The sequence below is a fragment of the Homo sapiens genome, chromosome 1 (assembly GCF_000001405.40).
Source record: "Homo sapiens chromosome 1, GRCh38.p14 Primary Assembly".
NCBI classification, from domain to species: domain Eukaryota; kingdom Metazoa; phylum Chordata; class Mammalia; order Primates; family Hominidae; genus Homo; species Homo sapiens.
In genome coordinates, this window is record NC_000001.11 from 40,796,937 (window position 1) to 40,820,708 (window position 23,772).

General features: G+C 54.8%; 1 protein-coding gene and 1 pseudogene across 6 annotated transcripts in view, besides 5 other annotated features; both read left to right on the forward strand.

Annotated features, from left to right (window-relative positions):
• Positions 1–23,772, forward strand: part of KCNQ4 (potassium voltage-gated channel subfamily Q member 4) — a 56,666-nt gene that overhangs the window by 13,150 nt on the left and 19,744 nt on the right. For 3 of the 6 annotated variants that reach the window (NM_004700.4, NM_172163.3, XM_047434057.1), the window contains exons 2-7: positions 20,329–20,419; positions 21,228–21,354; positions 21,569–21,744; positions 22,411–22,536; positions 22,939–23,049; positions 23,229–23,324. In NM_004700.4, the coding sequence (NP_004691.2) occupies positions 20,329–20,419; positions 21,228–21,354; positions 21,569–21,744; positions 22,411–22,536; positions 22,939–23,049; positions 23,229–23,324 (727 nt within the window). Of the gene's footprint in view, positions 1–20,254; positions 20,420–21,227; positions 21,355–21,568; positions 21,745–22,023; positions 22,055–22,410; positions 22,537–22,938; positions 23,050–23,228; positions 23,325–23,772 lie in introns of those variants that run through there. The other 3 variants (XR_007064876.1, XR_007064877.1, XM_017002792.2) reach the window with 2 other exon arrangements.
• Positions 5,246–5,845: a silencer, noted in NCBI's record as "silent region_734". NCBI's record gives its function as "represses an Ori minimal core promoter by ATAC-STARR-seq in GM12878 lymphoblastoid cells {active_cell/tissue: GM12878}" and the evidence as "EXISTENCE:reporter gene assay evidence [ECO:0000049][PMID:35858748]".
• Positions 5,355–5,539: a silencer, noted in NCBI's record as "fragment chr1:41267963-41268147 (GRCh37/hg19 assembly coordinates)". NCBI's record gives its function as "represses an EF-1alpha promoter that drives an FKBP-Casp9 reporter gene in an ReSE screen in K562 erythroleukemia cells {active_cell/tissue: K562}" and the evidence as "EXISTENCE:reporter gene assay evidence [ECO:0000049][PMID:32094911]".
• Positions 7,910–8,205, forward strand: RN7SL326P (RNA, 7SL, cytoplasmic 326, pseudogene; annotated as a pseudogene).
• Positions 16,439–16,938: an enhancer, noted in NCBI's record as "H3K4me1 hESC enhancer chr1:41279047-41279546 (GRCh37/hg19 assembly coordinates)". NCBI's record gives its function as "activates a minimal SCP1, AML or CMV promoter by ChIP-STARR-seq in naive H9 embryonic stem cells {active_cell/tissue: H9 hESC(naive)}" and the evidence as "EXISTENCE:reporter gene assay evidence [ECO:0000049][PMID:30033119]".
• Positions 21,567–21,616: an enhancer, noted in NCBI's record as "active region_855". NCBI's record gives its function as "activates an Ori minimal core promoter by ATAC-STARR-seq in GM12878 lymphoblastoid cells {active_cell/tissue: GM12878}" and the evidence as "EXISTENCE:reporter gene assay evidence [ECO:0000049][PMID:35858748]".
• Positions 21,937–21,996: a silencer, noted in NCBI's record as "silent region_735". NCBI's record gives its function as "represses an Ori minimal core promoter by ATAC-STARR-seq in GM12878 lymphoblastoid cells {active_cell/tissue: GM12878}" and the evidence as "EXISTENCE:reporter gene assay evidence [ECO:0000049][PMID:35858748]".

A 23,772-nucleotide genomic window follows, 5' to 3' on the forward strand; every position in this document is an offset into this window, starting at 1 on the left:
AATAAATAAATAAATACAGTTCAAGGTCCTGCTCCCACCCCGATTCTACCCTGGGGACTCATTCCTTCCCTCTCTCGCCCTTTCATTTGAGAAACCTTCACTTCTAAATGAAGTTCAGCTGCTTATGCCAGTCTCCCCGGGCCAGGCCCTGTGCCAGACTCTGGGGACAGAGCAATGAATCAGACCTTCCTCTGCTCCCTGGGGGAGATGGGCTGGGAAGCTGGCAGTTACCAGGCAGGGTGATAAGTGCCACTGTCCAGGCAGCACGGAGTCCAGTGGGAGCCCAGCACAGAGGGCCAAGCCCTGCCCCAATCTGGGCATGGCTGGGAAGGCTTCCCAGAGGAAGAGGCTTAAGTTGAGACTGAAAGATGAGTAGAAGTAGGAGTTAGCTAGGTGAAAAGGAGCAAGGAACAGTGTTTCAGGCAGAGAGAATAGCACAGGCAGAGACCCAGAAGTGAGGCTGAACAGGGCATTTGCAAAGAACAGCAAGAAGTCAGAAGAGCGGGATCCTAGAGGAGGCAAGAGGTATCTGGAGAAGAGGCTGGGATGCAACAGGGCCAGGCTCGGCAGTGAGGACACCGGGCTGGGGAGCTGCAGCTTCCTGAGAGGGTGATGGGAAGGAAGTGATGTCAGGAGTAACATGGCAGATTCGTGTTTTAGAAACTCCTTTCTGGGACTGGCGAGGAGGATGCTGGAGGGGTAAGGACTCTGGCAAGGAGCCCTGGGGATGCTACCAACTTGTCCCCCTTTTTCCTTTACCTTCCCCCCAGGGTCCAGCCTCCTGAGTGCCTCCTCCAGAGCTATTGACCAACCCTGCTCAGGGCCTGGCTCAACCTGACCCGGAGCCCTAGGACTTTGCCTATAGGGAAAGTTCAGCTGCTTATGCAAACTCTGGCTTGGGGGGAGATGTGTGTGGTTGAGCTGGGAGCTGGTGGTGTGTGGGGGTGGCCTTGGAAGCAGAGAGGGTGGGTGCAGGCGCCGAGGCTGTCTGGAAAGGGAGTCTGGGGATATAAGCTTGGGGTCCATGGGGGTCCCTAGAATAGTGGCCTTATAATGGCTCCAAGAGGGTACACTGGGATTTGGCCCAGATAATGGAGGGACACCCTGGCGAAGGGGCAGAGTCCTGGCAGTTCAGCCAGCCCCAGCTCTGTCTTTTTCTTGAAGCTCAACAGAGTATGGAAATCATTGGTCTCACCCAGCCCCCTCATTCTTCTGAGGGGGAAACAGGCTCAGAACAGGGCAGGGACTAAACTCAGGTCAGCAGTAGAGCCCAGACCAGAACCCAGGCTCAGTCCAAGCATCTTAGTTGTCTCCAATGATGATAAATAACAGTGAAAACCTTTCTGCAGAGCTTCCCAGGGGCTGGCCTGGGCTTAGGCACCCTCTGGATGGTCTTGGGCAGACGTTTTTCACATCTCGAGCCTTAGCTCGAGGTCCAAAATACTACCTGTACTGGGAAGGAGGTCCTCTCTCCCACTGACAGTCCACAAAGCCGTTTTAGGCATGCTGGACCCATTGTGGGCTTTACTTATTGTTTGTTCAATGAATCCCACTGAATTCATGTAACAACCCTGGAGGAAGATACTATTATGCTATTTTGTGCTGAGGCTCAGAAAGGAGAAGTGACTTGCCCAAGGTCATTCAGCTGAGAAGTTGCTGACTTAGGGCTGGACTCCAGGGGTCCAGATGCCTGTCTAGGATCCCTGATGGACACAGCCCCATTTTTGAGCCTGCGCTCTCAGCGAAAATCAGTTGGTGTCTCAACGAGACCCATCGTCAGCTGGGCAGGGTGTGTGTATATATGTGGAAGCTGGGCTGGGCTGCTGGCTGGAACTCAAGCCACACCAACCCCTGTGCCCCTGTGTTTGGACCTGGCTGCAGCTGCTGCCCGTGGGGGAAGGGGACCTTGCCACTTGCCCTCCTGCATCAAGGGTTTTTTCTCCTTGGCCTGGCTGCCTGGGCAAAGGAGCTGGCTGTGGCATGACCATGTGGGCACCTGCCAGCCCCTCCCTTGTTGGGGTCTGGTCATCTAATGCCCTTCACATGACAGGCATGGGGTGGGCCCTGGCTGGGGAGAGGGATTTGCACTCTCCTAATCCAAGGGCTGCAGCCCTCCCTCTGTCTTGGCCAGGGCCGTGGGAGAGGTTTGTCCTTGCCCCATGCCCAGCAGCCCCAGCTCAGATCCCTGGCATACACCCAGTTCCTCTGCTTGGGGCCTTCCCCTGTCCTGCTTCTGCTCCCCACCCTCCTACTCTGTGAGCAGAATCAGGAGCTAGGGGGCAATGCTGGGGCATTCAGGACTGATGGAGGTGCAGTGCTACATAGCATGTGGGACTGAAGGATGGGGGCGATGTCAGGGAGGTTTAGGGCACATGTTGGGGCAAAGTTGAGGGAAGATGATTGGGGTGCAGAGCAGGAGTGTTTGGGGCTCATCCTGGGCCACCCCTTCCTGGAAAAATTTGGCTACAAGTCAGGGAGGCAAATGTGTGGGCCATGCCCCCCCCCTCGCTAGGCAGTAAACACTGCCGTCGCCTGGGAGACAAGAAAACATCTTGGTCCCCCCACGGTTGTTTATACCAGGACTCCCTCTCCTTCTCTGGCCTGGTCTGGCCTCTCCACTCCTGAGCTGGGCTACCTGAGTTGAGGGTCCAGCCCCCGGTCATGGCAGGAGGCCCTGGCAGCACGCCCACTGGCCCCCACCAGGGACTGAGCACTCACCACCTCCTGGTGGCCTGTCCCATTGGAGGCCCTAGGTCTTATTGATCAGAAACGTGCTCCCAAGCCTTGGCCTCCACGAGGGAGGCCTGGGACTGTGCCCTGGATTTGCTCCAACCCACTGCCTGAATGCAGTCACTGGCCTCCCGGTAACCTCAGCTTCCCATGTTCAGTAGCAGGCAGGATCTAGATTAGAGCTTTTCAAACTGTTTCAAGTCATAGATCTGGTTCTTTGAATGACACCTGATACAGAAGCACAATATATAAAACAGATCAAAGTAGGGCTACTCTGGGTGGAGTCACGGGTTGGGGCCCAGAATTCTACCCACTCTATGCCAGCCTATATGGCCCTGGCATATCAACCCAGAGCCTGTACATGGTCCTCCTTGCTCTAGAACACATTCCAGGTAACCCTGGAATTCCCTGGCCAAATACTTATGCCTACTTCCAGGGTCTGCACAGGCCCTTCTCCCAGGGGCTGTCAGAGCAGCCCTAGGCTCAAGGACGGCTGTTTGTAGTGGGTATAGCAAAAGCCCGGAAGAGCAGGCTGAGGCACCCCCAGGAGTGTACCCAAGGCCCCTCCCAGGGAGGGATGGGCCCAGTGTGGGAAGAGAATCTGAGGATCGGAGGGTAGCAAGGGGCTGGCTGTCCCTTCCCTGCTGGATTCCAGCATGGGATTCCAAGGCATCCAAGAACTAAAATTCAAACCTGGTCTTCTAGGTCATTATGAAGGTATATGTGTCAGGAAGGATAGAGCAAATTTTATTTAAAAGTTTGTTAACCTGATTGAAACTTTTAAATATTTAGACTTATGGTATGTGGGTCTCCATTTATACTCTCTCCCCAGTCCTGCCAGAGTTAGGGGTGAGCTTGCATCAATCCTCCTTCCACCCACCCACCTACCTCTGCAGCAACCCCAAGACAGCCTTACCCAGAACTCTCAGGCTTCACAGGACAGTGTGGAAGTCCCACTCGCTGAAACTCAAGGCCCTGGTGACTGCATCTTTCTGTTCACTCCCCAGATACTGTCTGAGCATCAGCTGGGGCCAGCCTGGGGGTTGTGGAGGAGCCAGACTGGCCTTGCCCTAGAGGGATGGATCTCAGTGAGGAGTAAGCGGGTAGGAACACTCTCCCTCTTGTAGAATAGTGTGAGAAGGGGTGCCTGAGGGGGCCCACAGGGGCCCTGGAATCCTAACGAGGGGCTAAAGAAGCTCCTCTATTCAAAGCCGATCATGGATGGATGAGGTGGAAGAGAGACAGCCCAAGAAGGGGAGACAGTACAAAAGCCACCAAGGTGGAAATGTACAGGGAGTGGAGAAGTCGAGTGTCGCTGGTGCTTAGGATGTGTGTACAGCCTCAAACGCTGGTCTAAGGAGCTTGGGTTTTCTATTTTAACAGTAAGAAGCTGTTGTAGGATTGTAAATGGGGTAGGGGCTGAGGAAGAGGCATTCAGACTGCAAGGTAAGTGGACTGGAGGTGGGGATAGGGGGCTGGAATTGTGGTGGTCAGTGAGAGGCTGGCTGGGGGGAAGGGGAATGGGGGTGAGTCCTGGGCTGACCAGGAATGGGACTTGAGGGGCTAGGAAGAAAGAGGGGATCTTAACTCTGCTTTCTGGGACCACATCTCCTATCTCCTCCTCCTTTGTTCTGTCTCAGTTTTTGTCTTCTTCTCCTGCTATTCCACTGCCCTAGGTCTCCAGGCTGGGGAGAGGGGCACTCACCCTAAACCCCCTCTCCAAAGCAGGCCACTTCACACAAGTGGCCAGGCAAGAGGCCGCAGTTGTATAAGAGGCTTTTCTCAGCTGGCTGGACTACTCATTCGTTCATTTATTCATTCATTCACTCAACATTTATTGAGAACCTACAATGCACCAGGCCCTGCACTAGGTTTTGGAGAGAAAGTAGGAACAAGATCAAGTACCTGCATTCATGGAGCTTACATTGAGGGGGGCGGGAGAACCAGGAACTGTATCTATCCCCGGTGTCTACCATCTGGCACCTGTGCCTGGGCTGGATGCCTGGGAACAGGGACTCTTCCCATTACCTACTCATTTGTTCCAGCTGCCCTGTGTCAGCACTCACCTCTCTGGACAATGACAGAGGAGAAGGGGTCCCATGCCCAGGATGCCAGCCCCAGGGAGCACCTGTCTCTGTAAGAACAGCCTGGCCCTCGGGGCCAGGACCTGGGCTCAGGCCTAGTTCTTCCTACTCACTCCTGACTTTGAGCCCTTTGCAAGGACCCGACTTTGATTTCTTTATCTGTCAGGTGGGATTTGGGGAGGTCCTGAGGAGGCGAGGGGACCAGAATACTGGACCTCAGCTCCAGTATTCTCCCTTGGTGGGCAACTCCTTTGGCTATGATGGGAGGGGGAAGGGGGCTTGGGACTCAATATTATCATCATTACCCATACAAGATAGTAATAGTTGCTACCTATTGTGTAATTTATTCCGCACTATCTGTATGGTCGGTGTGTCTTCTCTCCCCATTTTCCGGATGAGGAAACTGAGTCTCCGTAAGGTGAAATGACTTACTTGAGGTCACACGTGAAACTACCTACTCCAAGAGCCCTTTAGGATGGTGCTGTGAGGTGGAAGGGCGAGGCCGAGGCGGCGGTGGCGTCGCGTCCCCCCTCTCCGCCCCTGGCCTCGGGGACGCGGCGGCACCTTCACACTTTCCGCTTGGCCCGCTGCTCGCCTTTCAGGCCGCCGCGTTTTCAATTGTTAATTTGGAAACGGAAAAAGTAGCCGGCCGGGCGGGGGAGGCCGCGGGGAGGTAATCGGAGCCGCAGCACCGCCCCGGCCCCTCCCGCTCTCGGGGCCTGGCATTGGCAAAGCCCCGCCCCTCCCAGGGACGCAAGAGCCCCGCCCACCATTCCCCGCCCCCGGCATGCCCCGCCCATTTCCGTAAGCCCCGCCCTCGCCGAGGCGGGCTGGGGGCACCTGGGAGTGCCGAGCAGTGGCGCCCCTGCTGAGGAGAAGGAGCCCGGGCGGGGGAAGGGGGCCGAGGGCTGTGCTGGGGGAGGAGTCCCCCAGGAGCCCTCCCCGCAGGAACCCGTACCTCTCCCGAGAAGTCGCGCAGGGTGTCTGCTTCCCTTGTCCCTACGTGAACCCAAGCCTTTCTGCAACCCCTCTGTAGGTTCACCCAGGGGAGACCCCTGCCTCCAGACTGCCGGACCAGGGATCATTGGTCCCATTAGAAAGACGAAGAAACTGAGTCCTGAGAGGGACAGTTAACTTGCTAAAAGTCACACAGCCAAGGCAGAGCAGAGCTGAATTCAAGCCCATTCTTTTGACTGAGATACATTTAGGGACTGTCTGCCTCATTTAGAAGAGGAGGGGGCATCAGGACCAGAGATACAATTTGTCCCCTTCCCCCTATCTCCAGCACGGTTTCTGTGGTTAGTAAGTTACTGGAAGTTCTGCTTATCATTATTCAATTATGGGAGGGTTTTGGAGGTAGAAGGAGGTCCCTCTAAACTTTCCATGTAAATGAAATGTAAAAGACCCTCTTCTGGGGACTCCCAGAACACAGAAGTCCCTGAGGACTGGCAGCTTCAGGAGCCGTCCACGGCCTTGCTTCCCATTAGGGAAGCTGGAATTGCCAGTCCCAGATGGATCAGCAAAAAATAGGGCCCTCAGAGACTCCCACCCAATCCCTTCCTCCCACTGAGGAATAAGCTGAGACTCAGACACAGTTTCCCAAGTCTTCAGCTGACTGGTGGCGGAGTCAGGAGACAGAACCCACCGACCCAGCTTTCTAGCTGTGTCCACGCCCTTCTGCTTCTCCCTCTGCTGCCCCCCAATCCTGACACCTCTCTCACAGCCACCACTCAGGATCCTGCCTCCATCAGCTGGGCCTGCAGGCTGGGCAGCCTTTCTCTTTACAGGCGGAGGAAACTAAGAAGAGTATCTGCAGATGTCCTCCCAGCTTCCAGTTAAAGACCCTCCCAACCACCCTTCCACCTTAGCTGTGGGTCAGGCCCAGAGAAGCTGCGCTCCTGGCCTCGAGTCACACAGCAAGCCTTTTCCAGCTTGCAAAGCCCACTGGATTCAGTCTGGCTGGTCCTGGATTTGGGGTTCCCACTGGGAGCATGGCTCTCAGGGCAGCTGTAACCAGATGCCCCAGGTGTGGCCTGTGAGTTTGCATGCTGCTTTGCTTATTAGTAACAAAGGCATTGAAACCCCTCTTCCTCATTGTGTCCCCAAACCACCCACTGGGTGGGGTCCTCAATGGCTGAGTCTACAGAACTCCTGGGCTGGGCTCAGTCTTGGCACCTGAGCTCCCCAGGGAACTCTGCCCTCCACGGTGCTCCTCTTCGACCCTGTCAGCTCTTGGTGCTCTCTCTGCCCTGGAAGTACTGAGAACCCAGTGGCAAGGACTAACTCTTTCCCTTGTCTTGGACTCTTCCCTCCCTCTCCCTCCCCCAATATAGTGCACAGGTTCTGCTGACTCAGAGGACAGAAGGCTCCTTTGAGGTTACCCTGACCCCTGCCAGGTTCAAGTAGCTGGGAAACTGGGCAATGCTTGAACCCACTGCCACAAAGTCACATGCAGCAGGAAGGGCAGGGGCAGGTCCCATCTTGGCCCCAGGATGAGGGAATTTTTGAGGTGGGAGTGAGAGGCAGGTGCCTGAGTCCTTCTACAGACAGAGGAGAAATCCAAAGAACATTGCATTAGGAATCAGGAAATCTGGGTGCCAGGCCCAACTCTGTCTCTGATCTACTGTATGATCACAGGTAAGCCAGGCCCCTCTCTGGGACTCAGTTTCCCCATCTATAAATGAGAAGGTTGGTTAATCTCTAAGGGACCTTTCAGTGCCCAGATATAGCCAGTATCTGGTCATATCTTGCCACTTCCGCTTCCCCTCATACAAGTCACCATCATCAGCTGGTAGTGGCTCATGCCTGTAAGCCCAGCACTTTGGGAGATGGAGGCAGGAGAATTGTTTGAGCCCAGGAGTTCGAGACGAGCCCGGGCAACATGGGGAGACCCTGTCTCTACAAAAAATAAATATAAATTAGTCGGGCATGGTGGCACCCACCTGTGGCCCCAGCTACTCAGGGGGCTGAGGCTGGCGGATTGTTTGAGCCCAGGAGGTTGAGGCTGCAGTGAGCCGTGATTGCACCACTGCACTCCAGCCTGGGTAACAGAGTGAGACCCTGTCTCAAAAAAAAAAAAAAAAAAAAGTCACACAGGGTGAAGTGGCATGTGCCTGTAGTCTCAGCTACTCAGGCAGCTGAGGTGGGAGGATCATTTGAGCCCAGGAGTTCTGGGCTGTGGTGAGCTATTCCAATCAGGTGTCCACACTAAGTTTGGCATAAATATGGTGACCTCCTGGGAACAGAGGACCATCAAGTTGCCTAGGGAGGGGTGAACTGGCCCAGGTCAGAAACGGAGCAGGTCAAAACTCCCGTGTTGACCAGTAGTGGGATCACACCTGTGAATAGCCACTACAATCCAGCCTGGGCAACATAACAAGACCCCATCTCTTAAAAATAAAAATAAACAAAACAAACAAACAAACAAAAAGTCACTGGCATCTCTTGCCAGGATTATACTTTCCAACTCACAATGGGGCAAACGTCATTGCTCCCTCCTCCCCTCTCCCCCACCATAGTCCGTTCACTCAGCAGCCTGTGTGATCTTTTTAAACATAAGGAAGATTGAGCTACTCCCTGCTCAAACTCCCCATCTCACTCAGAGTAAAAGCCAAGATCCTTACCATAGCCAGTAGATGGTCCGCTTTCCACCTCCCCTGCCTCTCTGCCCTCACCCCCCACCACTCTCCCCTTGCTCATTCCACTCTGGGATCACTCCTTTCCTGGTAGTTCTGGAACACAGAAGGCACCCTTCTGGCTCAGATGTGTTGGATTTGTTTTTCCCTCTGGAGGTGGGATGGGGGTTAAGGGAGCATGAGGTGGGGGCTCTGACCTAAGCCTGCCAGTCTGAGCTCATGCTCAGACACAGCATGAGTAAAGGTGGGGAGGGGAAAAGAGCGCGTTTGCCATTGTCAGGGACAGAGCTATGATAATGCAGTGCCAAGTGTCAGGTTGGGTACCGGCTAGTGAAGAGCAAGTTGGCCTGGTGGGTGGGGCTTTCCTTGCAATCATGCTAAGGGGTTTGGGCCTGGGCCCACAACTCAGTGGATTTCACACTTTTTAAAAAAACAGCAAAGCTTTTTGTTCACATGAAATTTTTTTTTTTTTTTAAGATGGAGTCTTGCTCTGTCGCCCAGGCTGGAGTGCAGTGGCGCAATCTCGGCTCACTGCAGGCTCCGCCTCCTGGGTTCACGCCATTCTTCTGCCTCAGCCTCTGGAGTAGCTGGGACTACAGGCGCCCACCACCACGCCTGGCTAAGTTTTTGTATTTTTAGTAGAGATGGGGTTTCACCGTGTTAGCCAGGATGGTCTCGATCTCCTGACCTCGTGATCCGCCTGCCTCAGCCTCCCAAAGTGCTGGGATTACAGGCGTGAGCCACCGCGCCCGGCCTCACATGAAATTTTTACGCCAAAGCCAGCATGTAAAACTGAGCCACCCGAATCTGCACGGAGCTGCTCAGTGGAACCGAGGGAAGGTTTCCACTAGCCATCTTGCTTGAGTTTCTCAAATCCTGGCTGCCTAAATTCCACCCCATGTTTCCCCTTCCTTTCAATGGCATCCTGCTTGGGAGGGCCCACACCTCCCTGTTTGAGAAGTCAGCTCTGTCTGGCCAGTCCCAACAGATGGATGCCCCTGTGTCCTCTTTGTTCCACTCTGGCTCTTGTCAACACATTGCTCAGCCCACTGACCTGGTGCAACAGGTAGGCAGGCTGGCACGGCAGAAGGAAGCAGACAGAACAAGTCGGAAGGTTTGGGGCTGGTGCAGGTGGGAGAGGAGGAAGCTATTCCTCATCAAACACCTTGTCTAGAAGACACTGCCTTTCATGTCCCGTGGGACAGAAACCATTCAAGCTGGCTCAATAAAAACTGGCTTCTGTACTATTACATTTGGGATAAAGAAAAAGAAAAATTGGCTTCTGGAGGTAGAGGACAGATATGGTAAGGAAAGAGAATTCTTTAGAGGCTTCAAGGCAGAAAGCACATTTTGGATTCATGGGATAGAGAGCAGGGGGATGAGGTTCCAGCGTAGTGCAGTCTCATGGCCCATCTCTCTGCACCTCTGCCAACTTTCCTCTGTGGTTCTTAGTTCCATTCCTGCGAAAGACAATCCGATTGGCTCAGCCCAACCTATGGGTGGGCCCTTCTTGGGTCAGTCTCCAGCTCTCCATGAATCTGTGGCGGCCAGGAGAGTGCTGTGGAGCCAACCGCAGGGCTGTCATGTGTCGCTCTGCAGTCTGGGCGCCACAAAGGGGCCGGCTGAGAGGGCTGAGGGGTGCTGGAATCCAGCCTATGCCCAGGGGTGGGGCAGCCCAGGGGAAGGGATGCCTGTGCTAATGGGTCCGTCTAGAGGGGTCAAGTTTTTATAACTTGTCAGGCTAACGGGAATGCTTTTTTTCTAAGCCATCCTCCAAGAGGGGGCATTTTTTTCATAGTTTGTTCTATGTGCTGGCGGCTGCTGTCCCTCCAGGGACAGCCTCAGGGAAACTCAGCTGAGGGCCAACTCTCTCCTTTCTACCCCACTGCTGGAGAGTCACAAGGCGGAAGGGACTTTGGCCATTACTGAGTAGTGCTCCACCTACATGTTGCAGACAGGGAAACTGAGGCTCCATCAGGGCCCCATTGCAATTTCTAAGCCCCAGCGCAAGCCTCTGGCCCAGAGAAGCAGCAGCGGCAGTGGCGGCGGCCCTGGTGTGGGGCCCTGGGTCACGTGCTCTTGCTCCCTTTGCCATATTTAGAATCGCTGGATCAGGGGAAACTTCTCCTCCCAGCCCCTGAGGATTCTTGGAAAGAGCCTCGCTCTGAGGCCTGGCTTACTGCCCCTCCCCTTATTCCCCTGCAGGAGAAAGTAAGTGCCTGCTCTCTCTAGAAGAGTCTGGGGGCCTCCAGGCTGCCCCCCTTGTCAGGAAGTGCCTGTCAAGTCTAGCTGAAGTCCCTTCTTCGGTATCAGCTCCGGTTTGGGGTTTAAGGAGCCCCTTTCTTCCAGAAGGTGATGGTGGCCATAGCTTCTGCCCTCTAGGGACCTTGGCTGAATGGAGGACAGACTGGCCTCAGGGTCCTCCAGCTGAGGGGAGACAGAGCCCTGCCTTTGGGCCCTGGTCTAGGGGGCAAGGAAAGAGTCACGCGCTCCCCAGGCCAGATGCACAAATCACTTGAGCTTGGGGGTTGGAGACCAGCCTGGGAAAATAGCAAGACCTTGTCTCTACTAAAAATCAAAAAAAATTAGCCAGGTGTGGTGGTCCCGGCTACTCAGGAGGCTGAGGCAGGCAGATTTCTTGAGCCTTGGAGAGTGATGCTGCAGTGAGCTATGATTGCACCACTGCATTCCAACACAGGCAACAGAGCAAGACCCTGTCTCAAAAGAAAAGAAATCAGGGAAACTGCTGGTGGCTGGGCAGTCCCCAGACACTGGCAGGGCTCAGTCTGGGAGGGACGCTGGAAAGACGAGGGAAGGAAGGAGGCTCTGGAGGAAGGAGGGGGCAAGGCCTGGATCTGTATTTACCTTGGCCTTGGTGGATACTTGGGGGTGGGGAGCGGTCCTCTTCTCACACAGGCTGCTTCCTACTGGATAATCAAGCCTTAAAAACAAACAGCAACAAAAAACCTAAATAAAACCCTGAAATGCATGTGTTGAGTGCCTGTGATGTTCCAGGTCTGAAGAGCCATCCTCGCTGCTGAGGATAATGGTCCTGTGCTCCCATGGGACCCCTCTCCAGGCGTGGTCTTTTCTCCCACCTTCCTCTCCCAGCTCCATACCTCCTCCATCTCTTCAGATCCCCCACCCCACCCTCCTGCCCACTTCTGAGAGTTGGGCCTTGCCTCTTCCCAGAGCAGTCCCCAGTGAGTAGGGGCTGTCGGCCTCCTCCCTTCCCACAGCCTCCTCCCACCTACATGCCTTCCTGTCCCTGTGGAAGCTGGAGGGATCCTTCCTACTCCACACCAGCTCCTCCCTGGCTCTGGATCCCAGCCTCCCATCTTCCTTGGGGACTTCATTCCATTGACTACTCACTCTGTCTCCCCGCATCTTCAACTTCTCCTTCTTGATCTCTTGGCTCCTTCCACTCTGGCTCTCTCATCTTAAAAGAAAAGAAAAAGATTCCCTATACCCTGCATCCTTCTCCAGCTACGATCTCTGATCTCTTCTTTGCAGTCAAACATCTTCAAATTGTTAAACCTACACTTACTGTCTCTACCTCCTCACTGCCCCTCCCCTTTCTCACTTTTTCTGGGCCTGTTCTGGTCTTCCTCTCCTTCTGAGAGAAGGCTGCCCTTGCCAAGGGACCCAGTGACCAATGTGTCACCAAATCCAGAGGACATTTTTCACGCCTTATCTCACTTGACCTCTTGGCAGCATTTGACACTGTTGTCTACTCCCGCTTTGAAACATGTTCTTCACGTGGCCTCTCTGACACTTCTCTCTTCTGCTTTCCCTCCCAGCTCTCTGGCTATCCCTCCCAGTCTGCGTAGAGGGCCTCTGTTCCTGCTGCACCGCTGGGGCTCCATCGGGTCCTCCTCTAACTTTGCTACAAGCTCTCTGGACTGTCTCAGCTGCTCCTGTGACCTCAGTCACCACCTCTACCCTGATGTCCCCCAGATCTGCATTTCCAGCCGGGTCTCTCTCTTCATACCCATGGAGTGTTTGCCCAGTGCCCATAGCCCTCTCTCTCTCTCAACATGCCCACCACCCAACACCTGCTCCTCCAGTGGGGTCTCCCCCGTCCCATGAAGGCACTCATGGCACCTTCATCCATCCAATGCCCAAACCAGAAATAGAGAAGTTGTTCTCCTTCCTAGTTCCCGTTTCCAGTTAATCACCGAGCCCTACTTCCTGCGGTGTTTTCCAACCCATCCACTCCTCTTCCCTGCTGCCACCACCCTGGGCCAGGCCACAGTCATCTGTCGTCTGAGCTATTGTGGAGCTTTCTTGGTCTTTCTGCTGAGTCTTATCTCCTTTGATCTATTCTGTGTACTTCCCCAAGTGGTCCTGAGATGCAAATTGGACTGTGTCATTTCCTCTCTTAGAACTCCACAATTGGCCAGGTGCGGTGGCTCACGCCTGTAATCCCAGCACTTTGGGAGGCCGAGGCAGGTGGATCACTTGAGGTCAGGAGTTCAAGACCAGCCTGGCCAACATGGTGAAACCCCGTCTCTACTAAAAATACAAAACTTAGCCGGGCGTGGTGGTAGGCACCTGTAATCCCAGCTACTCGGGAGGCTGAGGCACGAGAATCTCTTGAACCCAGGAGGCGGAGGTTGCAGTGAGCCAACACCACTGCACTCCAGCCTGGGCGACAGAGTGAGACTCCGTCTCAAAAAAAAAAAGAACTCTACAATGACTCCCCATTGCCTTTGGGATCATGTTCACAGTGCCTGAGAATGCTACTCAAGGCCCCTGGGTCTGGCCCTCTCTGGTTTTTCCACTGCCCCCTTCACTTTAGGCCACACCATCCAGAACTGCTGGCCGTTCTGGGCTGCCTCGACGGCCACATTCCCACTGCTTGCACATCCTGCTTCCTCTGCCTGGGGCACCCCGACCCCTGTCCAGTTACCTCCTCCAAGAAGTCTTCACTGATCCCTCCACTTTGGTTGTGCGGAAGGCTTCTTGGGACTCTCCCCGACCCCTTGAGTACACTGTCATGGCCTCGTCCATCCCGTCACCACTGTGTCATGTTCTGTGTTGTTAATTCCTTGGGACCTGGATTATTCATTTCTGGTTTTACAATAAACCTGGCTGAGTGTAGGTGTCTGAAGTGAATATAGCCCAGAGAGGTCAGGTGACAACCTCTTTTCTGCTGTGAGATGCCCTGCCATCTTTCCTACCCCCATCATATCCCCATCTCTCTGGCCTGGCCTCCCAGCAGCTGTCCCTCCAGGGACATGTTGGACATGTCGAGAGAGAGAGCCGTGGACACTGGGCAAACGCCCAGTGGGTATGAAGAGAGAGACCTCAGCTGGATCCAGGGACATCCCCAGAGAATCTGGAGCTGAGCTGATGGCCGATCCTCTCCACCCCACTGCTGGAGAGTTACCAAGCTACAGGGACCTTAACCATCACTGAGTTGTCCCCGACCTTTGTGTGTGTTTCTGACAGGGAAATTGAGGCCCAGAGCATTAGTAGGGCCCGGTGGTCCAGGTGGTCTTGGGCTCAGGTCCTGCGCTTATGACTTTGAACAAGTCATACCTTTCTTTTCTCATTTGAATAACAGCTTTATTGAGATATAATTCACATACAGTAAAATTCCTCCTTTTAAAGTGTTCAGTTCAGAGGATTTTAGTGTATTCACAGAGCTCTGCAGTCACCACAGTATACGCCTCTGAACCGCCCTCTCCTTATCAGGGTGATGATGGTACGGTTCCATGGGGTCACTGTGAGAACTCATTAAGAACATGCATTTAGAGGGCTTGGCACAGTGTCTGGCCAATAGGAAGCCTTTGGCCAGCAGGAGCAGTTATGGTTATTACTTCAGGTCACCACATGAGAGCCACCTCCCCAGCAGAGCTTTCCCCCTCCTGCCCTGTGGCCGCTTCTGGACAGTGACTTGAGGAGGTATAAATGTGGAGAAGGCGGTGATTGCAGTTGTTTAAAAGCCCTGAGCTGGCTAATAATTGAGTCAGCTGCAACTGCTCCCATCACCTAAGCCAGTGATTCTCAAAGTGTGGTCCCCATAACAGCAGCAATAGTATCACCAGGGACCTTTGTAGAAAGGCATATTTTCCACTTCAAACTTACTGAATCAGACACTGTAGGAATAGGTCCCAGAAATCAGTATTTTAACAAGCCCTCCAGGTGACTCTGACACCCACCGTAGTTTGAAAACCACAAATCTAAGCAAACCATTCACTTTTTCATCTCTAATCCTCTTGCTCCCTCCTGAACGAGTGGGATAGTCATGGGATGGGGAGATGGGGGAAATGGAGAGGAAAGGTTGGATAAGCCTTGTGATCAGACCAGCTGGGGAGAGCCAGCCAGGCAACACCCGCCTGTCTCATTCTGCCTCCTGGGCTGGGCAGGGAGAAAGAACATGGGCCACAACTTGCAGGCAGACATGATGGGCAAAGATGTCCTAGAAAGTGGCCGCTAGTCTGGCCTGTCTGCTGGGGAGATTAGAGAGGGCCCAGGCCAGCCAGCACCCATGTTTCATCTATATTTGTATAGATGGAGAAACTGAGGTCCCAGAGGGGGCCAGAGAGAATCCTTAGAAAGTCCTTTGTTGGATGAATGAAGCCACACCCTAGTTGTGGCAGGCATGAGACCCCAGCTAAGGGGCTCCTTCACCTTGTCTCCTCTACCCCTGACCTCCAGATACTGATCTCTCTTCTGCTGTCCCTGTGTGAGGACCACCCCCACTCCAGGAAGGCCAAGGCAGCTTGAGGGTCAGCCTGAGCTGGGGTTCTAGCTGCAGCTCTGCCACTGATTCACTGTGTGATCCTGAACAAGTCTATCCCTCCCTGAGCTCTATTTCCTCAGCTGGAAGATATGGATAATTATTCAGGTGCCTGGAACACAGGATCTTTTCTTTTTTTGAGATACAGAGTCTGGCTCTGTCCCCCAAGCTAGAATGCAGTGGCGAGATCACAGCTCACTGTAGCCTCAACCTCCCTGGCTCAAGCGATCTTCCCACCTCAGCCTCCCGAGTAGCTGGGACCACAGATGCACACCCCCATGCCTGGCTAATTTTTGTTTTGATTTTTTTTGTAGAGACAGCATCTCACAATGTTGCCCAGGCTGGTCTTGACCTCCTGGACTCAAGCAATCCTCCCACCTTGGACTCCCAAATGTTGGGATTACAGGCATGAGCCACCGCGCCTCGTCCCAGGATGTTTTCTATTAGTCCAAGTATATCCCTTCAAATGTAATGAGAGTATCAAGGGTATAGAAACTCTTAGCCAGTGGGTTAAAGCAGGGAGAAGTGAAGTTTGGGGGCTTTTTAAGCAGCGTCCGCCAAATGGAGATGGTCAAGGTCAGAGGCGTTACTTTTTAGGAAAGACATGGGGCAGCCAGAGGAGTCAGGGATGGATGTGCTTTGGGGACCTCTTCAGTGGGTACAAACTGGAGGCTTTGGCTTGGTAACATGGTGTTTTGATGTTTGGTTACAGTGAACTCCTGCTATTCATTTACTTAGTCTTTCAATAGTGCTGTGAAATCAATCAAGCAATCGGTCAGTCAGAATAAGGGGCAAGAGAGTGGAGATGAGGCCATTCTTTCAGAGAGGGGATGGCTGGGGAGGCCCCTCCAAAGAAGTGGCATTGGAACAGACCTGGGTGAGGCAGAGGAAACAGTAAAGCAGGTTCAAAGCCTGGAGGTGGAAATATGTTAGGTGTGTTCCAGGACTGGCAAGGAGGCCAGAATAAGTGGGGTGCAGTGAGCCAGCAGGAGAGTGAAGAAGGTCAAGTTTGGAGGCGGGGGTGGAGGCACAGACCTTGCAGGGCCTTGTTGTCAGTGCCGAGGAGTTGGACTTTCCCTCTCTAAGTGCGATGGAAGTCCGACGAGAGTTTTGTGGAGAGCGATGGTTTCCAGCTGTGCATTGTGGGAAGATGACCCTGGCTGCGTTGAAGGGAGTGGTCACATTCAGGCACAGTGGAGGCAGGGAGGCCAGGTAGGTGCCAGATGGTGGCGGCTTGGTTGGGATGGTGCGACCTGGCCTGCCCAGGGATAGATTCTGAAGGTAGAGCCAATGGAATTTGCTCAGAAGGGGATGTGCAGGGGGAGGGAAAGGAAGAATGAAGGAGCCTGAGCCCTGGGGGAGCCGTGGTGCCGTTACTGAGATGGGTAGGCTGGAGGTGAGGAGGACTTGAGGACAAATTGAGAACTGGTGTTTGGAGGTGTTGGGTTTGAGAGGCCACCAGACATCCAAGAAGAGTCATTGAGCAGGCATTTGGACACACGAGCTGGACACCTGGGAGAGGCTGCCACATCCTCACTCCTGCTAAATGGCAGAGGCGACTGTGGTCAAGGGGTGGGGCAGGATCCAAAGTGGGCTTTTCTTGTTTTTGTTTTTGTTTTTGTTTTTGTTTTTGAGACGGAGTCTCACTCTGTCGCCCAGGCTGGAGTGCAGTGGCGCAATCTTGGCTCACTGCAAGCTCTGCCTCCTGGGTTCATGCCATTGTCCTGCCTCAGCCTCCCGAGTAGCTGGGACTACAGGCATCCGCCAGCAAGCCCAGCTGATTTCTTGTATTTTTAATAGAGACAGGGTTTCACCGTGTTAGTCAGGATGGTCTCGATCTCCTGACCTTGTGATCTGCCCACCTCGGCCTCCCAAAGTACTGGGATTACAGGCGTGAGCCACTGCGCCCGGCCTTTTTTTTTTTTTTTTTTTTTTTTGAGATGATGTCTTGCTCTTGTTGCCCAGACTGGAGTGCAATGGTGCCATCTTGGCTCACTGCAACCTCCGCCTCCCAAGTTCAAGTGATTCTCCTCCCTCAGCCTCCTGAGTAGCTGGGATTACAGGCGCCTACCAACACGCCTGGCTAACTTTTGTATTTTTAGTAGAGGCGGGGTTTCACGATGTTGGCCAGGCTGGTCTGTAACTCCTGACCTCAGGCTATCCACCCACCTCGGCCTCCCAAAGTGCTGGGATTACAGGCATGAGCCACCGCACCCAGCCTGCATTTTAAATTTTATATTAGTTTGTTATTACCGAAACAACCCATGTTTGTTCCAAACAATATATTAGGAAATACTGGCTGGGCGAGTGGCTTACATTGCCAGCTCTGGGAGGCAGAGGCGGGAGGATCACTTGAGCCCAGGAGTTTGAGACCAGCCTGGGCAACATAGTTCAACCCCATCTCTACAAAAAATTTAAAAATTAGCCGGGTGTGGTGTCATGTGCCTGTGGTCTCAGCTACTCAGGAGGCTGAGGTAGGAGGATGGCTTGAGCTCAGGAGGTCAAGGCTACAGTGAGTCGTGATCATGCTACTGCACTCCAGCCTGGTTGACAGAGTGAGACCCTGTCTCAAAAAAAAACAAAACAAAACAAAAAATAGAAAATACAGATAAGCAGAAAGCAAAACAAAAGCCAAATCACTTAATTTTACCACCCATAGATAAGCCTTGCTGACTCTGGGTACGTGTGTAAAAACCATCTCTGTTTCAAACATTGGGATCACATTGCCGTTAAGGTTTTATAATCTGCTTTCCTTTTTTTTTAAATTGTGAAGTGGAAATTTTATAGATGTGTAATTACTGACATGGCAAGAAAAGTGTTAATGATGGCCAGGCTTGGTGGCTCACGCCTGTAATCCCAGCACTTTGGGAGGCCGAGGCAGGTGGATCACGAGGTCAGGAGATCAAGACCATCCTGGCCAACATGGTGCAACCCCGTCTCTACTAAAAATACAAAAATTAGCTGGGCACGGTGGCATGTGCCTGTAGCCCCAGCTACTCGGGAGGCTGAGGCAGCAGAATCGCTTGAACCCGGGAGGCGGAGGTTGCAGTGAGCCGAGATCACACCACTGCACTTCAGCCTGGTAACAGGATGAGACTCCATCTCAAAAAAAAAAAAAAGCAAAAGGAAAAAGAAAAGTGTTAATGAAACATTCAAGAAGAAGTCCCCAGAGTGGCCCACTGCTGCCTGAGCTTCTGAGGTCAGCTGAGAAACGGGACTGGAGGGTGTCTGTCAAGGCCGGGGTAAAGTCTTAAAAAGTCCTGGCTGTGGCCATTCCCCGAGGAGAGGGCTGCATGAGATAACCTCATGAAGGACCCTTCTGGTCCTAAACCCTGCTTCAGCTGCAGTCCCGATGCAGGTACATGTGGCCGCTGCCTTTTTTGTGATTAATTATTGAACATGAGGAGCTGGTGCTCTTCTCTTCTGTTCTCCCGTACCCCGTGTTTTTGCTGACTCAGCTCTGGTCTGGAACTGGCCGAGGAATAAGCTCTTCTCGAACTCATTCACTCATAACACTTTACCGACATCTGCCACCTACCTTCTCAAACCAGGGGTATTTGCTGGGATACACTTGCCCCCCAAAAAGGTCAGGAACCCCTGTCCAGGAGGTGTAAGTGAGCCAGGGCAGTGCCACGCCCTTTGCATGTCTTCCTTCCATAGCCCCCACTTCATAGATAACGAGATGGCTCAGAGAAGGCAGGTGACAGTCTCAAAACCACACACACAAGCAGGACTGGGATCCAAACTCAGGTCTCTCTGACCCCGAGCTGCTGTCCTTAAGGTCACCACGAAACATGAATATAAATAAAGCCACATAGAAGGTGACTTGGGCCACACATAGGGAGGCAAGCATCGGGAGTTGGCAGTTCTGAAGGGGGGATAGTGGGGTGCGGGAATCAGAGGCTCCGTAGAGCTTTGTAGCATTTGTGTTCCTGTAGGCGTGGACGATGAGCAGAGTCTCGCAGGCACAGACATGAGGTGTTCTGCGTAGCATGCACCGTGCCAGCAACGGTGCAGAGGTGGGGAGACTGGGGACATCTGGGAAGGCTGGCGGGTCAGTACACAGAGATGTATTTCCAGAGAAGCCTGTTCCCTCCGGAGTCTCCTCCAGGGTGTGTGCATGTTCAGCACACCCCCATCCTAAAGAGGGGTGCTCCTGGAGGCCACCTCATTCGCCTCTGCTGTGTCTGCAGCCTGTGACCTCTCACCTCGCTCTCCTTCACCCATCCACATACCGCAAGGCCACCAGTTTCTCTCCTCATGCCCTTGGTCCTCTTCCCATCCACTGGGAGGTTGGGAACCCTGGCTCTAATCTCAGCTCTGTCCTGGGCACACTGGGCGACAAAGGGTGAGTCCTTCTTCCTCTTCGGGCCTGTTTCCTCGTGGTGCACTGGGGGATGAGGGAAGTATTGGATGTGCTAGGGTCTAAAGTTCCTTCCATTTCTATGTCTCTGGTTCTGGGCCACTCTGTAGTTTCATGCTGTCTGCAGGGAAGTTCCTGGCCTCGATGGCCCAGCTCCACACTGCCCAATTCCCCTCCCTACATCCTCTCCCTGCTGCATCATTCCTTCTCTACCTGTCCTCCATGATCCTCTTTCCTTTTCTAGCTGTCTCGTTACTTAATTCCACGAAGGCAGGGGCAGTTGTCCCAATTCTGCAGATGAGGCCAGGCTCCTGCCACTTTGGAGTGCATAAGAAAGAAGGTCCCTCCTTCATCCGCTGACCTTCCCTGAGCCCTGGGCTGACCTCTGGGGCACTTCTCCCAAGACATCTTAAAACCAAGCTGGGGCCAAGGCCACCACTTGTGGATGGCTAGACCTGGAGGAACCCTGAGTCAGTCTATTTCCACTGCCAGACCTGCTACTCACAGATGAGTGACTACCTCTCTGAGCTGCAGCCTGCAGCAGGGGGCAATTGAGATAGTTGTGAGGTCCAGTAGCTTGGGGCTTGAGGGCTGCTGCCTTTGGTGCCCAGCACAGAGCTGTAACTCCAGGGAATTCCAATTCTGATTTCCACATAATTTTCTGAAAATAATGTTCTCCTCTCTTGGCTCTGTAACCCCCTGCCAGGGGCACCTTGGCTGTCCTGTCCCTCCAACAATCTAACCCTCTCCCTCATGTTGTAATTGCAGATTTTTGCTGGTCTTCAGCTGCCTGGTGCTGTCTGTGCTGTCCACTATCCAGGAGCACCAGGAACTTGCCAACGAGTGTCTCCTCATCTTGGTAAGTGCTGGGAGTCCGGGACTGAGGGGGGCTGTGTGAGGTAGCACCTCTGGGCTGGGAGTCCGGGACTGAGGGGGGCTGTGTGAGGTAGCACCTCTGGGCTGGGAGTCCGGGACTGAAGGGGGCTGTGTGAGGTAGCACCTCTGGGCTGGGAGTCCGGGACTGAGGGGGGCCGTGTGAGGTGGCACCTCTGGGCTGAGGGCTGAAGGTGGAAAGAGGCTTCTCATACCATGGCTCAGAGAGCAGCTTGCTGTGCTGTGTTCCCTCAGCTGTGGCTGCCCCTCTCTGGGCATCATCTCCACTTTATAGCAAGTGTTGGGGGACCTCCTGCCTCTATGCAAGGGCTTATGATGGGTCCAGAATAGAAGTGAGTAGGCTCCACCCCTTCTCAGGACAAAATCTGCAAACTCCACGTGTGGTGGATTTTAGGTCAGTTTTTGCCTAAACACAAAACACCAAATGGAAGCCCCTCAGAGGGAGACAGCTGACAGCCAGCAACCCCTTTTGTCACCAGGTCAGAGTTAGGGAGTCTGAGACAGCTGGGACAGGGAGGGCCTGTTGAGGAGCAGAAAAATCCGATCAGTTCATGGGGACCGGAAGGGGAGGACACACTAGGGCTTTTAGTCTTCTTGCAGGAGGCGGAGGGGGCCACCTGCCCTCCGGAATCGTCAAGTCCAGGAAACTCCAGGAGAGGGGTCCGAGGAGGCCCTGGTCCCCCTAACCCAGGGACTCTTGGCTGGGTCCGCGCTGTGACCTGGGCCCCAGTTCTGGAGACTGAGGACCAGAACTCAGGCCCCTGGTCCCACAGGAATTCGTGATGATCGTGGTTTTCGGCTTGGAGTACATCGTCCGGGTCTGGTCCGCCGGATGCTGCTGCCGCTACCGAGGATGGCAGGGTCGCTTCCGCTTTGCCAGAAAGCCCTTCTGTGTCATCGGTAATGAGGCGCGCCCCGCCCGACCTGACCCCTGACCCCAGGAGCCAGGGTGACGCCTTTACTCCCAATCCCGACTCTGACCCTGGAGACCCGCACAGATTCAGCGGACCCTCCCCCTCCCTCCCCAGTCCCCTGCCACATCCCCAGAAGTCCCCGCCTCCGGGTCCGTGCGCGGGGTAGGCTGGCTGTGATCTCGCCGCCCCCGCCCCTGCAGACTTCATCGTGTTCGTGGCCTCGGTGGCCGTCATCGCCGCGGGTACCCAGGGCAACATCTTCGCCACGTCCGCGCTGCGCAGCATGCGCTTCCTGCAGATCCTGCGCATGGTGCGCATGGACCGCCGCGGCGGCACCTGGAAGCTGCTGGGCTCAGTGGTCTACGCGCATAGCAAGGTGAGGCCTGCAAGCCGCGCGCGGAGACCCGAGGGCGTGTCTGGGGCACGACCAGAGCGGGCAGGGCGGAGAGGGCGAGGTCAGAGGGGCTGTCTCCGTGCTGGGAAGGGGTGTGGCCTGCGGGGGTTGGAGCCCTAGCAGGAGGCGAGGTCTAAGCGGGTGGGGCGAAGTGGATTCTGAATTAGGTAGGGGCGGGCCTAGGAGTCCGGACCGGATCAGGGGGCGGGGCCGGAGAGGCGGGGCTTGAGGGTTTCCCCTGGATGCTTCTGGGTTTGAAGGGACCACTCGTACCACAAAGTGGGCAGCTGAGGTGGGACTTGAGGGTGGGGCTGGAGCGGGGCTAGGGTGGGCCCCAGGTGGAAGCCTGAAAGTGGGACTTGGGGGACGGGGCAAGGTAGGCCGGGTGCTGGAGTCCTGAGCCTGGAACCTGGAGACTCAAGGCAGGCGGGGTGAGGGTGGGGGTGGGAATGGGGGTCGGGGTAGGGGGAGTGCTGGCGGTTTCGCGAAGGCCGGGGCAGGGTCGCCGTGATGGGAGGAGCTGAGAAAGAAAAGCGAGCCTGGGACTCCGGGAGATGGGGGACCTTTATCCCTTTCCCGTGTGGAAGCCCCCCACATCTCCCAGGCAGGCACAGCGCTCCTCACCGCGCCCCTCCGCCTGCCCCGCAGGAGCTGATCACCGCCTGGTACATCGGGTTCCTGGTGCTCATCTTCGCCTCCTTCCTGGTCTACCTGGCTGAGAAGGACGCCAACTCCGACTTCTCCTCCTACGCCGACTCGCTCTGGTGGGGGACGGTGCGTGAGGGTCTTTGTAGGGCTGCCCTTCTCCCTGGGATCCTCCCTGGGAACTTCCCGAGGTCTGCCCATCGTGACTCCTGACTCAGGGTTGAGCGGGCCTGCCCCTGCCCTCTCACTAGAGCTGGGACCCCCCTGAGACCAGCCCCAATGCTAACCCCCCAACCTGCTCTGGTGGACCTGCCTCTGTCCCCAGCTAGCCCCGCACATCAAGACCTTGTGACTATACCCCTTTCCCCTGACCAGCCCAGGAGAGGGAGAATCCATCTATGACCCTAACCAGCCCCCGTGGGTGACCAGGGGCCCCTTCCCTCATGATCAGGCTCCTACCTGCCTGTACCCCCAACAAGCCGTAGGTGGCCCCCGTGACCAGTCCTGCCTGTAACCTGTTTGTGTCTCCAGATTACATTGACAACCATCGGCTATGGTGACAAGACACCGCACACATGGCTGGGCAGGGTCCTGGCTGCTGGCTTCGCCTTACTGGGCATCTCTTTCTTTGCCCTGCCTGCCGTGAGTTGCCTCCTGCTCAGTTGGTGGGGGAGGCTGAGGGTGGGACCTGCTCACCCCTGTCACACATTTGCCTGGGGAGCCTGGGGTACCTCAGAGGGGCAAGGATGGGGACACCCTTGCAGCCTCTTACTGCCCCACCACTGCCAGCACATTCCCCCAACCATGCCCTATCCCTCTAGGGCATCCTAGGCTCCGGCTTTGCCCTGAAGGTCCAGGAGCAGCACCGGCAGAAGCACTTCGAGAAGCGGAGGATGCCGGCAGCCAACCTCATCCAGGTACAAGATGCCCGGGAAGAAGCCCTAGGAGCAGGGCCGTGTGACTGCACTGGTGTGTCAACCCTGTGTGCTGACCCATGTCCCCAGCCCAACTGTGACACCACTTTGAAGCTCAAAAGGGCTATGTGACTTTCCTGGAGCCACATGCCAAGTCACACACAGAGCCAGGATGCTCACTGACAGTGCCAGAAACTTCCCCCTGCACCAAATGCCTGGTTTAGGGCTAGCCAGAACTGCCCTATTGCCCAACTCCAGCCCAACTTCACAGGGCCTGGGGAGGGGCGGAGCCCAGACAGGAGCTGGGAGGCCTCTGGTGGAGACCCACTGCTGCCCCCATCAGCTGTGCAGCAGTAAGCCTGCCCCACTTCCAGCACCTTCATTCATTCATTCATTCCACAAGCACTCACACAAATGAAGAGAGGATGGTGCAGACAGGGCTTTTAGGAAT